This window comes from Homo sapiens, chromosome 4 (genome assembly GCF_000001405.40).
Source record: "Homo sapiens chromosome 4, GRCh38.p14 Primary Assembly".
In the NCBI taxonomy this organism is placed as follows: Eukaryota; Metazoa; Chordata; class Mammalia; order Primates; family Hominidae; genus Homo; species Homo sapiens.
In genome coordinates, this window is record NC_000004.12 from 98,246,472 (window position 1) to 98,262,293 (window position 15,822).

The 15,822-nt window shown below is 42.4% G+C and overlaps 1 protein-coding gene across 9 annotated transcripts in view, besides 5 other annotated features; it reads left to right on the top strand.

Moving 5' to 3' along the window:
• Window positions 14,154–14,453: an enhancer, noted in NCBI's record as "active region_21733". NCBI's record gives its function as "activates an Ori minimal core promoter by ATAC-STARR-seq in GM12878 lymphoblastoid cells {active_cell/tissue: GM12878}" and the evidence as "EXISTENCE:reporter gene assay evidence [ECO:0000049][PMID:35858748]".
• Window positions 14,154–14,767: a biological region, named in NCBI's record as "H3K27ac hESC enhancer GRCh37_chr4:99181827-99182389".
• Window positions 14,205–14,767: an enhancer, noted in NCBI's record as "H3K27ac hESC enhancer chr4:99181827-99182389 (GRCh37/hg19 assembly coordinates)". NCBI's record gives its function as "activates a minimal SCP1, AML or CMV promoter by ChIP-STARR-seq in primed H9 embryonic stem cells {active_cell/tissue: H9 hESC(primed)}" and the evidence as "EXISTENCE:reporter gene assay evidence [ECO:0000049][PMID:30033119]".
• Window positions 14,734–15,033: a silencer, noted in NCBI's record as "silent region_15576". NCBI's record gives its function as "represses an Ori minimal core promoter by ATAC-STARR-seq in GM12878 lymphoblastoid cells {active_cell/tissue: GM12878}" and the evidence as "EXISTENCE:reporter gene assay evidence [ECO:0000049][PMID:35858748]".
• The window catches only part of RAP1GDS1 (Rap1 GTPase-GDP dissociation stimulator 1), a 182,475-nt gene continuing 181,565 nt past the window's right edge, over window positions 14,913–15,822 (top strand). For all 9 annotated transcript variants that reach the window (NM_001100426.2, NM_021159.5, NM_001100428.2 and 6 more), the window contains exon 1: window positions 14,913–15,098. In NM_001100426.2, coding sequence (NP_001093896.1) covers window positions 15,095–15,098 — 4 coding nt within the window. In that variant the 5' untranslated portion in view covers window positions 14,913–15,094. The remainder of the gene's footprint in view (window positions 15,099–15,822) is intronic.
• Window positions 15,134–15,203: a silencer, noted in NCBI's record as "silent region_15577". NCBI's record gives its function as "represses an Ori minimal core promoter by ATAC-STARR-seq in GM12878 lymphoblastoid cells {active_cell/tissue: GM12878}" and the evidence as "EXISTENCE:reporter gene assay evidence [ECO:0000049][PMID:35858748]".

A 15,822-nucleotide genomic window follows, 5' to 3' on the forward strand; every position in this document is an offset into this window, starting at 1 on the left:
GACCATGTTGCTAGAGCAAAATATCCACTCTCCTCATCCTCAAAGAATGTAGTTTCTAACATGGGGTGTGCAAAACAAAACAATGGGAAGCAAGGAGAAAATGTATACTTTATAAGTATAAACTTTATTTTCTATAAATTTCACATCAAGTACAGACTTTGTACTTTATTTTGTATCTAGAAAATATGGAAGGATTTATGTTTTTCTAATACATAATGACCAACACTGTTGTTCTCATATGTTCCAGAAGTCAAATATAGTACAGAAGGTAGCCCCAGTAGGGCTTGGCAGCAAGACCATCATAAATTCATTCCTCTTCTATGTACTACACTGTACCACAGTTTATGTTTATACTGTACCACAATTTATGTGCCACATAGAACATTGTCAATGTGGTTATTTTTTATAAAGTAAGATCTTTGAAATAATAATAGAGTCATTGTGATACTTTGTAATAAGACAAGGGCTGATCATGAACATTTTTTTTACCACATAGTAACCAGTTCACCAGTTACCTTGCAGAAAGGACTATCCAACTAAAAGCTGAGTAGCAACACCTATCTTTTAAACATTTTAACAAGCGTTCCTAGTATGCTGACCTTTTCTGTGAATACAAGTGACTGTCAGATTTTTTAAAAATAATATTCTTAATCAGTTCTTTCAAGGTAAAGGTGACATTTTTAATAATGAAGGAGAAAATGGCTGCTGTTCAAAAGACATTTGTGCTATGGAGAGAGAATTTTTAAAATAGAAACTTGAAAATGTTCCAACATTATCTAATTTTATTGCTGAAAACAATTTAAATGTAGAAACTCTTAATATCTGCACATTAAAAAACTTGGAAATAATAGAGTTTTAAGAACTGTTTGTAAAAGATCTTCCAAATGAGTAGTTTCAATATGTTTTGAACCCATTTCTTAAAAATACAAAAATGCAATAACTTCTGATTAGTTTGCAAGAAAAAGTGACTGATATTGGGGATGATATATATTTTCTAGCTGAATTTCAATAAAACTCTTTGCATAATTGGGGATGGGACTGAAAAAATGAATATCATGATTTAGCAAGCACAACTAATGGTGCACTTCTTCCATCTGGCTGTACTTATTTTTGTGAGATAGCTCTTTCAGCTAAAATAGCTATTAAAACCAACATGGGAATACACTGAACTTAGAACCAGACTTCTGAGCCACAGTATCACAAGGTATAAAATCAAGATTTTTTTAATTGATGACGCATTTTTAGTCAAATTGTTCTCACCAGAAAAGGCAAAAATGTTATTAAACTATTGATAAGCAATATAAAATAATTTGAAAAATATTATTTAATATTTATCTCACCATTCTTAATTTTTGTTTTTGGTTCTTTTACAAAGTATATATTACAGTAAAATATTTGTTTGCTTGTTTCTTTGAGACAGAGTCTTGCTCTGTTGCCCAAGCTGTAGTGCAGTTGCACTATCACAGCTCACTGCAACCTCTGCCTCCTGGGTTCAAGTGATTCTCGTGCCTCAGCCTCCCGAGTGGCTGGGATTACAGGCATGCACCACCATGCCCCGGCTAACTTTTGTGTTTTTAATACAGGCGGGGTTTCACCACGTTGGCCAGGCTGGCCTTGAACTCCTGGCCTCAAGTGATCCACCCACCTTGGCCTCCCAAAGTGCTGAGATTACAGGCATGAGCCACCAAGCCTGGCCAAAATATTATTAAATATATATAATTAATAATTATGTAATTATAATATTTGAGGAGTGTTCACAAATTTTAGTAAGGGGTGCATGATCATAAAGAAATTTGGAAATCACTGCTTTAGTAGAACCACTCCCGTCATGCCTCAAATTTCTGTTTACTTCTGTTATGTTGGGAGGTGGAAGTCCCTCTGTCATCTACCACAATTTGCTCTTTCATTCCCATACTGCTTTGTAATCTTCTAAACTGAACCATCAGTTCTACCTCAGCCTTTCCAATCTACCCTCAAAAAATTCTGGATCTAGGATCAATAAACTTCCTGTTGTAGCTAATATCCACAGATGTTTCCCATTGGATCACATCTCCTGGTACTGATATCATTGTGAGTCCCTTCTCTTGAATCTGGATTGGCCTTGTGCTTCAATTTAATCAAAAGAAAAAGGCAGAAGTGCTACTGTGCCAATTCTGGGTCTAAGTCCCAAGGAGGCCTAGCAGCTTCTACCTTTGCACTTTTGCAAGCCCTGAGCTGCCATGTAAAAAGTCCAGCTATACTGCTGGAAGGTTCATGTGAAGAAAGAGAGACCTTGAGATGAGAGAGAGAGAGAGAGAGAACTAGCCATCCTACCTGAGCCCAGCTATCCCACCATCTCCACTAAAGCAGGTACCAGTTATGTGAATGAGCCATTTTGGCTGTTTCAGCCCTATCAAAGCCTCCAGTGATTTCAGCTCCATTTAACATCATGTGAATCAGAAGAATCACCCAGCTGGGCCCAGTCAACCTACAGTATCTTGAGGGATAATAAAATTGTTATTTTAAAACACTGAGTTTTCACATGGTCTATTGGGCAGCAATACATAACAAAACCCTATCTTACATACTCAATCCTCTGGGAATTTTCCCTTCAAATTTTTGACTTTAAGTAACTTCCCATTTGAGGACAAAATTTTACCCAGTAGTCCTCTCAAGTGACATCTGCTTTTTCCCTCACACCCCACCTACTACAGGCCCAATACATCACACCCATGTGATGACTCAGCTAGTAACCTTTCTCTCAGTTTCTAGACTTCTTAATTTTTTCCCTACTCCTCCTTAACCACCTGTTCCCATGGTCACACCCTAAAACTTACAAACTGAAACACCTCTGAAATATAAATTTTAAACATTTTATCCTTTCAGTTCACATGTGCTATTACTTGCACTGCAACCATTACTTGGCCACATCAGGACCTCAAATAAACAATGAAATATTGTTGAGGAAAATAACACGACCAGGCTGACATACTAAACTCTTCATCAATGATTCCAAACCTTAAATGGCCATTCAACACTGCCCAGCAAATACTACTTTATTTCTGCCTTAGGTTTGCAATCATAATTTTGGACACAACGACTTCATGCTCTCTTCTCTCCTCAAATCTTCTATCTCCCATGCCCCTTCTCTTACCTTCCATTAATGACCCCTTCTCTTGCTTCATAAATATAATCGAAGTTATTCAGTGGAGACTTTCCATCTTCTTGACATCAAATCTACCAACCCCCCTGTATATGCATGGTCTTCATTTCTGTTACAAAGGTTCACGTTGGGTGTCCTTCTCTCAGGATCCTCACCCACTCCTGCCTCTCCAAAAGTTTTGTACCTCTAGTTATTCTGTCTACCCTGTGTCACCAACAGATTATTTCCTTCAGTATAAAACAACAACAAAAAATATTTTAAGATCTCATATTTCCCCTACTATGCCATTTCTCTGCTCACCTCCACAGCATAACTTCTTTTAAAAAGTGTGTGTACACACACAATCATTTACTAGTTCTTCAAACCCTAAATCTAACTTCCCTTCCCAGTATTCACAGAAATTATTCTTGCTGACTCACCAACAATTTTCATGTTGGCAAATCCAGAGTATAATTCTGTTGCCATCTTATTTCTCTCCCAGTTTTCCTTATTTCAGTACATGACGTGGTCATTCATCCAATCACTTAAACCAGGACTTTAATATTTAACCTAAACTCCTCCTTTACATTCTCTTCTAAATCCAATTCATCAGCAAGCCCCAGATTTTCTACCTGTAGAAAAGCTTGTTTTTCTCCTTCTCCACCACAACTGCCCTGGTGCAGCCTCTGCATGTCTCACCCTGATCTCTGCAACAGCCTCCTGGAAGCTCACCTTATTTCCACTTATCTCCATAGCTGCCAGAGTGATCTTTCCAAACTGTCGGTCGGTCTATGTAGCTTTATGGGTAAAACGCTTTCAATGCTTTCTTTTAGTATTTAAAATGAAATTCTGATTCCAAATCATGGCCTAAAAGACCCATCTGATAGGAGTGTAAGGATAATATTTACCCCCACTCCACACATTTCATAGAGAGGAGAGAACTTTCTATCAACAGGAAGAAGACCATGGAAACATTCCTGGTCCCTCTCATTAACTGCCTCATCTACTCTCATCCCTTAGTACTCCTTTCTCTCCCTGAGGGGAAGAGAGAATCCTCTCATTGGTGAGAGGGGAAGAGAAATTGAGCATGTGTGTCTTATTGGGTTCTTTCCTTGAAAATGGCTTAATTCTCTGCCAGTGACTTACTAGCCTGCCCCTGGAAGGAAAGCCTGCAGTTCCGCTCTGCCTGGGACAATAGAGAGGTAAATGTATTCAGGGTGATGACAGTGGGAGGAGTATTTGGAAGCCCATTTGGCTGCAATTCTCCAATCAGCAGACTCAGTAATAAAGCTGCCATTTTGATCTTCATCTAGTAACTCTTGAGTCTCATCTCCCATCTTGGTTCCAAATTCTGGAGTAACACAGAGGACTTTTATTTACTGGCACCCACTAAAGTGCCAACTTTCACATAATTTGACTTTTCTCTGCCACCGCAACTTCATTTTTTGCCATTCTCCCCTGTTTACTAGGCTTCAATTACTCCGGCCTGCTTTAATTTCCTAAAACATAGCCACAATTTTCTTGTTGTGCTTTGCGCTTGCAGCTCCCTCTACCTAAAATGTTTCTCCTCTGGCTTTTTCATGATTGGCTCTTTCTTATCTTTGGGTCTTACATTAATTATCATGCTCAAAGGGTGGCCTTCACACACAAAATGTTACATAAAGGTGTTTCTCCACTGCCATTTTTGTCAATCACGGCTCCTTATCTGCTTTCCTCACAGTATTTATCATATCTTTATTTGTAGTTTGTTTGTTTATTTGCTTATTGATTGTCCTCCTCACTCAAATGTACTCAATGAGGGAACAGGTCTTTCTTGTTCACTATTGTATCTTCAGGACTTAAATCACAGTAGGTAGTAATAAGTAGTTGTTGAATAAATGAATGATTACATGGAACTAGCAATTTAGAATTAATACCTGGTTTTCTGACTTGATAATTACAAAGTATTTATTTCAATTCATTTCCATGTGAATTTTTCATGTTTCAGTAATTGTTTTGTTCCCACATAAGCAGAAATTGTTTCTCTTTTTGCCATAAAAACCAAGTTCCAAAAGTGCAAATGCCGTAGAGAGATGTTACTTCAAGAATGCAGGGGTCAAGTTAATGATGTTTATTGAAAATTACATCATGGAACCAGCCAGGCGCGGTGGCTCACACCTGTAATCCCAGCACTTTGAGAGGACAAGGCGGGTGGATCACGAGGTCAGGAGATGGAGACCATCCTGGCTAACACAGAGAAACCCCTTCTCTACTAAAAATACAAAAAATTAGCCAGGCGTGGTGGCGGGCGCCTGTAGTCCCAGCTACTCGGGAGGCTGAGGCAGCAGAATGGTGTGAACCCAGGAGGCAGAGCTTGCAGTGAGCCGAGATAGCACCATTACACTCCAGCCTGGGCGACAGAGCGAGACTCCACCTCAAAAAAAAAAAAAAACAAAAAATTACATCATGGAACTTTGATTAAGTTTCAGGAGGGAAAAAAGGACATAAAAAGGAAATTTATGGTACATCTGAAAAGACAAAAATGTATGTCAATGAAATGATTAAATCATACATATAAAATAAAAAGTAAGAAAAGTCTATTTTCCAGCATGATTAGAGAAAGTTAATACATTTATTAAATAAATTTACATATACATATCACATATGTATCATCTATACATATAGGTTCTTACTAATTTTAAAAAATTGGAATAAAATAAACTTGACATTAACTACTGAGACAGGCAAAAGAATGCCCTGCCCCACTCTCCTAAGATGTCCACATGCATGTCCTAATCCCCAGACCCTGTGAATATGGCACCTTATGTGGCAAAAGGGGTTTTGGAGATGTGATTAAATTAAGAAGCGTGGGATTATCCTGGATTATCCGGGCAGACTGGATATAATCACAAGGGTTTTCATTAGGGAAAGAAAGAGGCAGGAGGATGAAAGATGTGATTACAGCAGCAAAGGTTGAGTGATGTGACTGCTGGCTGGCAGGGGCCACAAACCAAGGAATGAGGGCAGCATCCAGAAGCTTGAAAGGGCAAGGAAACAGACTGTCCCCTAAAGCCTCCAGAAAGAAATACAGCCCTGCCCACACCTTGATTTTAGCCCAGTGAGATCCATTTTGGACTTCTGACCTCCAGAATTGTAAGACAATAAATTTGTATGGTTTGAAGCCACTAAATCTGGGGTAATTGATATGGCAGCCATAAGAAACTAACACAACTACATTAAGCAAACTTTATTCAGCCTTTAATATTTTAGAATCTTGCAGCCCCTCAAGATCGGCATGTGAGAATCAATTATTAGTGAACTGTAGGTAAGTAGACATGCTGGTTATTGAGGCTTTCCTATTCAGAAGGCTGAATAAGCCAGCTTTTATTATAGAACTTTTGTAAATACCAAGAATTGCTTAATCAGGACTGGTTGAGATTAAATTAGAAAATGTCTCCTAAAGGAAATGAGTCTTCAGGTGAACTTTCAAGGAGATAAAAGAGGATCCTTGAAAAGGAGATGGCAGAGACTTCAAGAGGATCTAGAAAAACCCTAAGAGAAGGGAGGATGAGTAATTACTGGCAACTCGAGCTACATAGAAGTATATGAAGGAAGCAAGATAATCTCATCAGAAACATCGTTTTGAATTACAGCTGACCCTTGAACAATTCAGGAGTTAGGAGCACTGTCCCCCAAATCCCCATCAAAAGTCTCTATATAACTTTAATTTGACTGCCTTAAAACCTAGCTACTAATAGCTTACTTGTTGACATTACTGATAACATAAGCAGTCAATTATCTCAGGTATATGTGGACCCATCCAGGTATATGTGGACCCATGACATTCAACCTTGTGTTGTTCAAGGATCAATTGTACTTTATTTTTGCCTAAAAGACCACTCATAAAACACATATACCTATTTCACAAGACTTTGGAAGAGATGGTTATAAGCCTATTGGCATAGATTACTTGACTAGCTTCCTATCACTCTGGAAAGGAAAGCACTTCTAGACAGAAACTGAACCAGACAGGTAACCATGCCAGTGTGGAGAAGTAGGTAAGTTATAGACTTCTCTTTCTCATGGAATGTCACAGTGGAGGTGAGCTTAGGGTTAAGGAACAAATTCACCCAAGGCAGGGTGATGAAATGGAAAGACCATGGACTTTGAAATCAAACAGACCTTGTTCAAATTCCAATTCTACATTGTATTGGTCAGGTGACATTAGACAAACGAATTAAAATATTTTGATTCTCCATGTCCTTATCTGTAACATAACTAACTTATGTGGTTAGTATTATATGAAATACTAATAATTATATGGAATACAAATAATTCCAAGAGCATCAAGGACAAATTTTAGTTACTTCCCAGTTTTCCCTCAGGCTAGTCCCAGAGAGAAAGAATGGAATGCTTTAAGATGTGGAGGATGTCTTCAGTGAGTCTGTGAGCATGTGTACATGTAGGTAGGTAGGGTGGAGGGTGGAGAGTGGAGATCATTTTAGGTGGTAGAACTAAATCCCTCTACTAGAACCAAACTCTATGAGAAATATATTTCTTACATTTGAAAGACAATTCATGGCTTCTCCCCTTGACATGCAGATACTATAATTCACGATTTTTACAAACAGGAAATATGGGAGCCAGAGACAAAGTCAACTGCTCAGAGAGACAAAATTAACTATCAGAGGTAGTTAGTGGTGGAATGAGACTCAGCATTCTCATTTCTTGGACTCCCTTTCTATGGTAATATTGTCAGCTATCAGGTTTCTTGATGTTCTCAAGCCACCTCTTATTTTACTTTGGCACAACTTTCTCATTATTATGAAAAGTAGAAGACATAATGATGTGAGAAAACTCAGTCAGGCTTCTTTAAAATGAGAGTTCATTCTTCTCTGAGTGGATCTCACTCTTAAGAACCATTTAAAAACTGAGGTGGGCAGAATGGCAAAGCCAATTGAAATTATTATAAAATAGGCTAAATATTATTTCAAGAATAACTGAACCTATGTCTTAAAAGTATCTTTGTTAAACATCCATTCATAAAATGATATGATATTAATGCAGAGATTCTTCTTATATCTGTAAATTTAAGAGAAGTAGGAACAAATATTAATAAATCATATTTTAAAGGCATGAACATTTTTATTGAAATAAAGGTATTTTATAACATTGTATTATTTTTTAATGTGTGGAGGTCACACAAAATATAAGGCATTTTCCCTCAACACATTTATCTGCATATTTTTTTTTGCTGTGAGGATCTGAGCCAAAGAGGCTTAGATTTTACTTCTGCTTTTTTTACTTATTAGTTATAGATCCTAAGTTAAATTATTTAACCTCTGAGCATTTTTCATTATTTGTAAAGCTGACATAATAATACCTCATACATAGCACTATTATATTATTTAATAGTAATATATGAGAATTTCTGACACATAAATAATTCCACACAACCTCTAATCAATCATCAAGCCAATACCACTTCCTTGATATTTCTCAAGATTGTCCATTATTGTCTAACCCCACTGCTTTTATTTTAGTTCAGCTCATACCTGGAATATTATGAGAGTCTCTTAATAGTCTCTCAGTCTCTGGTCTACACTCCATTCTTAGCCATTTTCTACTTTGCGACTACTAAAATATAAATTTAACAATGTCGCTTTTAAACTTAAAATCCTCTAATGGCTCCCTGATTCCCTTAGGATACTGTCCAATATCCTAAGTCAGATGTCAAGGCCCTACAAGATTTGATCCCTCTAACTTCTCCATTCTTGTCGCATGACCTTCTCTCTTTCCCTACATCTTTGCATGCTTCATGCTAGCCAGAAAACACTGCTTGCAGGTTTCTTAAAGATTCAGACTCTTGCCTCCAGGTCTGTGTACATTTAGCCCTCTGCATAGTTGACTCTATTCATTCTTCAGGTCTCTGCTCAGATAGCATCTTCTCCAGGAGGTTTTCTATGATAGAGTTAAATGTTATACCCATATTCTTCCACACTACCCCATTGTGGTAGTTGTAGCACTATATTTTAACTATTTACATGTCTGTCTCTATCACTATACTCTTTCAGGACCAAAAATTCACCCTGTATACCTAATTCCCAGACAGAATGATGCATCTCTTAATGTTACTTAAATTACAATAATTACGGCTGGGCACGGTGGCTCACACCTGTAATCCCAACACTTTGGGAGGCTGAGGCGGGCAGATCACAAGGTCAGTAGTTCGAGACCAGCCTGGCCAATATGGTGAAACTCCATCTCTACTAAAAATACAAAAATTAGCTGGGTGTGGTGGCGGGCGCCTGTAGCCCCAGCTACTCAGGAGGCTGAGGCAGAAGAATCCGTTGAACCCAGGAGGTGGAGGTTGCAGTGAGCCAAGATTGCCATTGCACTCCAGCCTGGGCAACAGAATGAAACTCCGTCTCAAAAAAAAAAAAAAAAAAAAGAAAAAAGAAAAAAAGAAAAAGAAAAAATTACAATAATTACTAAAATTATAATATTAAATAACAATAAAAATTACTTTCTTTGATGCACTATTTCTCCTCCTTCTATACTGTTTTCGCCATGCTATTCCATTTCTCAAGAAACTTTCAATGGTTTATTTCCTAACTTAACAAGTTTAAATTCCTCTGGCTGGCTTTTTCAGCCCCTCACAATCTGTTCTTCATACTAAATTTTTAATCTTATTTCTCAAGATGCCACAATAAGTATCCCTGCATCGTTTTTTTGTTTTTTGGTTTTTTTTTGTTTTTTTTTTTTTGAGACAGAGTCTCACTCCCTCACCCAGGCTGGAGTGCAGTGGTGTGATCTTGGCTCACCGCAACCTCCACCTCCTGGGTTAAAGTGATTCTCCTGCCTCAGTCTCCCAAGTAGCTGGGACCACAGGCACGCGCCACCACGCCCAGCTAATTTTTGTATTTTTAGTAGAGAAGAGGTTTCGCTATGTTGGCCAGGCTGGTCTTGAACTCCTGACTTCAAGTGATCCGCCTGCCTCGGCCTCCCAAAGTGCTGGGATTACAGGTGTGAGCAACCGCACCCGGCCAATATGTACCCTTTTTAATGGTCTTATGAATATGGCCTATAGGTGTCTTACCACATGCTGTTTCCCTGTCTTGGAGTAAATTCTTTTCTTCCCATCCTTTCTCGGAAAAATTCTATCCATTCTTCAGGTATGTTCTCCTTATACAGCTATCTTTAACTAGTAGGAAGAGACTTTTAAGAGAGATTGTTCTTACTCTCTTGTTTTGCATGATATGTACTTATAGCTATTTCTTTTTTTTTTTTTTTTTTTTTTTGAGACGAAGTCTTGCTCTGTCGCCCAGGCTGGAATGCACTGGCACGATCTCGGCTCACTGCAAGCTCTGCCTCCCGGGTTCACGCCATTCTCCTGCCTCAGCCTCCCGAGTAGCTGGGACTACAGGTGCCCGCCACCATGCCTGGTTTATTTTTGTATTTTTAGTAGAGACGGGGTTTCACCATGTTAGCCAGGATGGTCTCGATCTCCTGACCTCGTAATCCACCCGCTTCGGCCTCCCAAAGTGCTGGGATTACAGGCATGAGCCACCGCGCCTGGCCCTTATAGCTGTTCTTTTATAGCATCTAGCACAGTGCTGAGCTCAGAAGAAATGTTCAATAACTACATGACTGATTTTAAAGTGGTATATCCCATCTAAAAACTGTATGTAATCTAGGTCTGTTGTTGCTTGAAACATGTAGACATTAGTTTGAGGTGACAGCCTATGAAAATAATTTAGATTTTACAACATTTAGAAAATGGCTAAAATATTAAATAAATGGAGAGCGGGGGAGAAAGAGGTTACATTGAGGTTAAGACATTTCAGTTGTTCAACCTGGACTAACTTGATCTCACCAATGAAGTCTCTGAAAAATAAACAGTTTAGGCAGAAGGCTGTTCACTGCCAAATCATTTTCTATCACCGCAAAGTTCAATTAACTACTCCAGTGAAATTCCCTTAAATGATATTCAGAACATCATGGTGAACAGGAGGCAATCAGTTCCCTATTATACTTTTAAAGAACATTCTCTCCTCTCTTTCCACTTCTTGTTGTGTTGCCCCTCCCAATAGATTTCCTCTAAAGAATTTAAATCACCTTCTAACCTCTTTAAGCTTACATGCATCAATGAGGTAAGTTATAAGTCTTGCCAAAATGTACTGCTTCTGATCTTTTCTAAAAGACATTTTCCTTGATACTCCCCCATAACAGCTATTTAGTAATCATAAACCAATTTTCAACAGAAATTGTTATTCAAATAAATCCGTGATACTTTATAAATATGACATTTCCTAGATTGAAGTTGAAAACCTTTGCACTGGGCCAGAACTTCCTTTGTTTTGTAGCAGGCCTGATAAAATCCTGACCATTGCCTAACATACAGTATGGGTATTAGTAGATCGATTTTGGAAGAGTCTCTTGACATCAGGGATGTCAAGAGATGTAGATATAAGGTGTTGCTATCTTGTACTGGCTGCTCTCAGAATCCTGACCTCAAGTGATCCTCCCTCCTCGGCCTCCCTAAGTGCTGGAATTATAGGTGTGAGCCACCATACCTAGCAAATTTTTATTAAGCACTTGCTATGTGCTAGCACTATTTAGGCACGGGGGTTATAATGGTAAATACAGCAGACAAAAATTATTTCCCTAGGAGAACTTACATTTAAATGTGGGAGACAGTCCAAAAGCAAAATATATATTATCTTATTGATAACTGCTAAGGAAAAAAAATAAAGTATAGAAGTGGGGATATGAAATGGGAAGGAGTGTTGAAATTTTAGATAAGATAACTAGGGAAGACATCATGCAGGTAACTTTTGAATAAAGACATAAAGGAAGAAAGTAAAGATATGAGACAGAAACATTATATTCTTATAATAGAACAAGAAAGGAGAGGGGAAGGGAGGTGGCATTGTGTGTGCAAGGAGTAGGCAATATACCAGTCTGGAAGTAATTCACTTCTGCATATAACAATCAGTATTGGTTCTCACTATGGTTACAACACCGGTGCATTAGGACTCAGTATATGCACTAAGCCTGAACAATCCTTTGGTTTTAATTGGCAGGAAGGCTAAGGAGATGGCTTGTAGATTGAAGTAGAACAAAAAAGGCACTTTAACTAGTGTCAGATGGGAAATGAGAAAGCCACTTCAGCTGCTTTTGCTAATTTCAACGCTTACATCCAAATAAATGATAGAAGATACTCCATGAAATTATTATAATATGTAATTAGATAAGGAAGTAGGAAAAATAAAGCAAGTTAACTTGACAATCTGGAAGAGATTAATGAGTGTTAAGGAGAGATGAACAAAAAATGATGAGCAGCAATGCAAAGGCCCAGGCTGGTCTTCTGGAGGAGTAATAAAATTAATGTGTAACATGGCCGATGTGGGGGCAGTGAGGGGCCCTGAGGGTGGGGTCTGCATTGGTGTATTATGGGTTGAATTGTGTACCCCTCCCGGATTCTTTTTTTTTATTTTTATTTTTTTTGAGACAGGGTCTTGCTCTGTGGCCCAGGCTGGAGTGCAGTGGTGCAATCTCAGCTCACTGCAACCTCCGCCTCCCGGGTTCAAGCGATTCTCCTGCCTCAGCCTCCCAAGTAGCTGGGATTACAGACACGTGCCACCATGCCCAGCTAATTTATTTATTTTATTTATTTTTTAGTAGAAATAGGGTTTTGCCATGTTGGCCAGGCTGATCTCCAGCTCCTGACTTAAGTGATCTGCCCTCCTGAGCCTCCCAAAGTGTTAGGATTACAGGCGTGAGCCACTGTGCCTGGCCCTGGCTAATTTTTTGTATTTTTAGTTAGAGATGGGGTTTCGTCATGTTGGCCAGGCTGGCCCTATTCATATGTAGAAGTCCTAACCCTTAGTCCCTTAGAATGTGACCTGATTTGGAAATAGGGTCATTGCAGATATAATTAACGTCCATGAGGTCATACTGGAGGATGGTTCGCCCCTAATCCGTTATGACTGCTGTTCTTATTAAAAAGGGAAATTTGAACACACAAGCACACTGGGAGAACAGCCATGTTCAGATTGGAGTTACGCTACCATATGCCAAGAAACTACCAGAAGCTAGGAGAGGCATGGACGAGATCCCTCCCCAGTGCCCTCAGAGGGAGTACAGCCCTGCCTACACCTTGATTTCAAACTTCTGGCCTCCAGAATTGTGAGATAATAATTTGTTGTTTTAAGTCACCCAATTTGTGGTATGTTACGGCAGCCCTAGGGAACTAATGTAGTGCGATTATTTTAAGAGGCAAACAAGAAGAACATCCTAAGAGTGAGGTGCCTGATAGTCTCATGCATCAGAAAAGTCCCATATATTTGACTTCAGCAGTTAAATTGTATTTTCCTGTTTTACCAAACCTTTTTAATTATCGTTTCTTGCTGTAGAAAAATCACATAAAATCTGCTCTTTGCTTAACAAATTACAGGGTCGCTTCTGATTTGTGTGCTCGAAATACTAGTCACCAAGCAGAAACTGATGACTGTGAGAATAGGCGACTAATTAACAAACAAACAAAAAAAGCCCTTTCTCAACATTGGATTGACCGAGTGAAAGTTGACAGGGGAAAGACACCTCGATTCAGCCATCTTTCTCCAACAGGTTGTACTGCTGACTGCACAGTGTCCCCTGAAGGACTCCGGTCGCTGTAGCCTTGGAGAGCGACCAGATTCCTCACCCCACTCAGGAGGAGCCAGGGCAAGATTAGGGTGCAGAGAAATCGGTTTCCTCCAGCCTCCTACCCCAGGGAAGAGGACCGAAGCCAGCCCCGGCCTCACGTGCATGCCCAGTCGGGAGGACGCCCTCAGTGGGAGAGCCCTGCTCAGGTTCTCCCCGAGGCCGAGGTGGTGGTGGGAGCGGGCGGTGGCCCCGGGATCAAAGGACCTCCGCCGGGTTAGCTTTGGCAGTGCCGCAGCCAACCCAGCAGGACGCTTATTTTCAAGCCTGGGGAACGTAGTTCCTCCCGCTTTCACAGCAGGATGGAGCCCGACGGCACCCCGGTTAAAGGGCCTTTCCAGAGCCCTCCGGGGAACGGAAGGCCGCGCTCCTCCGGGAGGGAGAACGACACACTCTTCGAGGAAATCCTGGGGCGGGCGCTCTCCTCGCTGCCGGGACCTTTGTTTCTAAGCTGGCCACAGCTAGAGCAGCCTTAAGTGTCCCAATGACACGCCTGCTATCGAGCGCCCTCCCGGCGGCCCCTCCTCAGCCAGCTGCCCAGCGGGCGTCCTCAGGTGTCCCCAAGAGGCGCAGGCCTAGTCGCCTACACGTCCTTTCCAACTTCGTCAGCTCTGGCTTCCCACCACCCCTCCCGGCTCTGCGGCGGCCCAGCCTCTTCTCCGGTTAATTCCGGCCTGTGCGGCCCGGTCGTCCCGTAAAGAAGGCAAGCCCGGGTTCCGGGTGAGGGGTTGGTGGGTCAGGGTGGGAAAGCAAGGCAGCGGTGAGTCCTCTGCTAGCAGATCGGGCTCAATATCCCCATTCCCTGTTTTCTCCGGGCCCGCCCTCCGCCTCTCAGGCGGCCGCCATGAAGATCCTCTGCCGCGGCTGCAGCCGGTCTGCAAACACACGCCCACCCGCACGCTTAGCCTCGCTCGCCACAGAGGGAGGGGTGGAAAAGGCACTGAGCATGCTCGGTGGGGAGGGCGGGGCGCTCGTGGGCTGCGAGTCGGGGCCGGAGCTCTTCAGGCCGGCTCCCGCGCCTCCGCCGCCCGCCCGCTCGGAGCCGCGCCCGCCGCAGGCTGCGCCCGCCAGTCCCGCCCCGCCCCGCCCCGCCCCGCCCCCCGCCGCTCGTCCCCGCCGCGGCCGCGCCGCCTGCAGCAGCACCAGCTGCTCCTCCCCGGCGGCCGCCCCCCGCGGGTCCCTCCCTGGCTGCGGGAGAGACGGAGGTAGAGGGAGGACACAGAGCCGCGCCGCCCGCACCACAGACCTTCGCCTCGCCCCGCCGGTTCCTCACCCTCGGGGAGCAACATGGGTAAGTCATCCTTCCTCCGCCGTCATCGCCTGACATTTTTTTCTTTCTCGGCGTGCTGCAGGGTGGGAAGCATTTCTCGCGCAAAGTTGCCGGATTTCTCCAGTCCCCGGGTGTGAGACGGTGGCTGTTCCTCCGGGGAGAGTCGGCGCACGCGGAACGCACGCCGGGTGCCGGGGCTGGGAGGGTCCCGAGCGCGGGCTGGGGTGGGGTCGGCCGCGGGCCGGACCGCCGCCCGGCTCCCCGGCACCTCGCAGCCTCGCCTCCCCTCCTCCATTCTTCCTGCCGGTGCCCGGGCACCACGGAGCCTGCCTCGCGGGCTCGCATCTGCAGCTCCATCCCCGTTTCTCCAGAGGCCGCCCGCTTCCTTTTCCCCCGCGTGTACTGAGCTCGAGGCTCGGGTCCGACCACTACCACTTCGTGTAACTTCCTTCTCTGTCAGTGCGACCTTTCCCCGTCGTGGAGACTCCTCATCCCGGGCGGGGAAGTGGAAGCAAGTAGTTTGTGAGGGAGATCTTACAACCTGCACGGAAATTATTTTCCAAGGGGGAGAGCGGACAGCCTCATAGGTTGAAAGGATGACTTGTCAGAGGCCACGAGGAACGTGAGGCAGGATAGAGCCGCTAGCTGTTGAATTAGTGCTGGGTGACTACAGTGTGCAATATTCCCGTGCCCAGCCTATTTTCTGGATTCCTTCGTCCGTCTTCTGTAGCAGGAAACTGCGCCC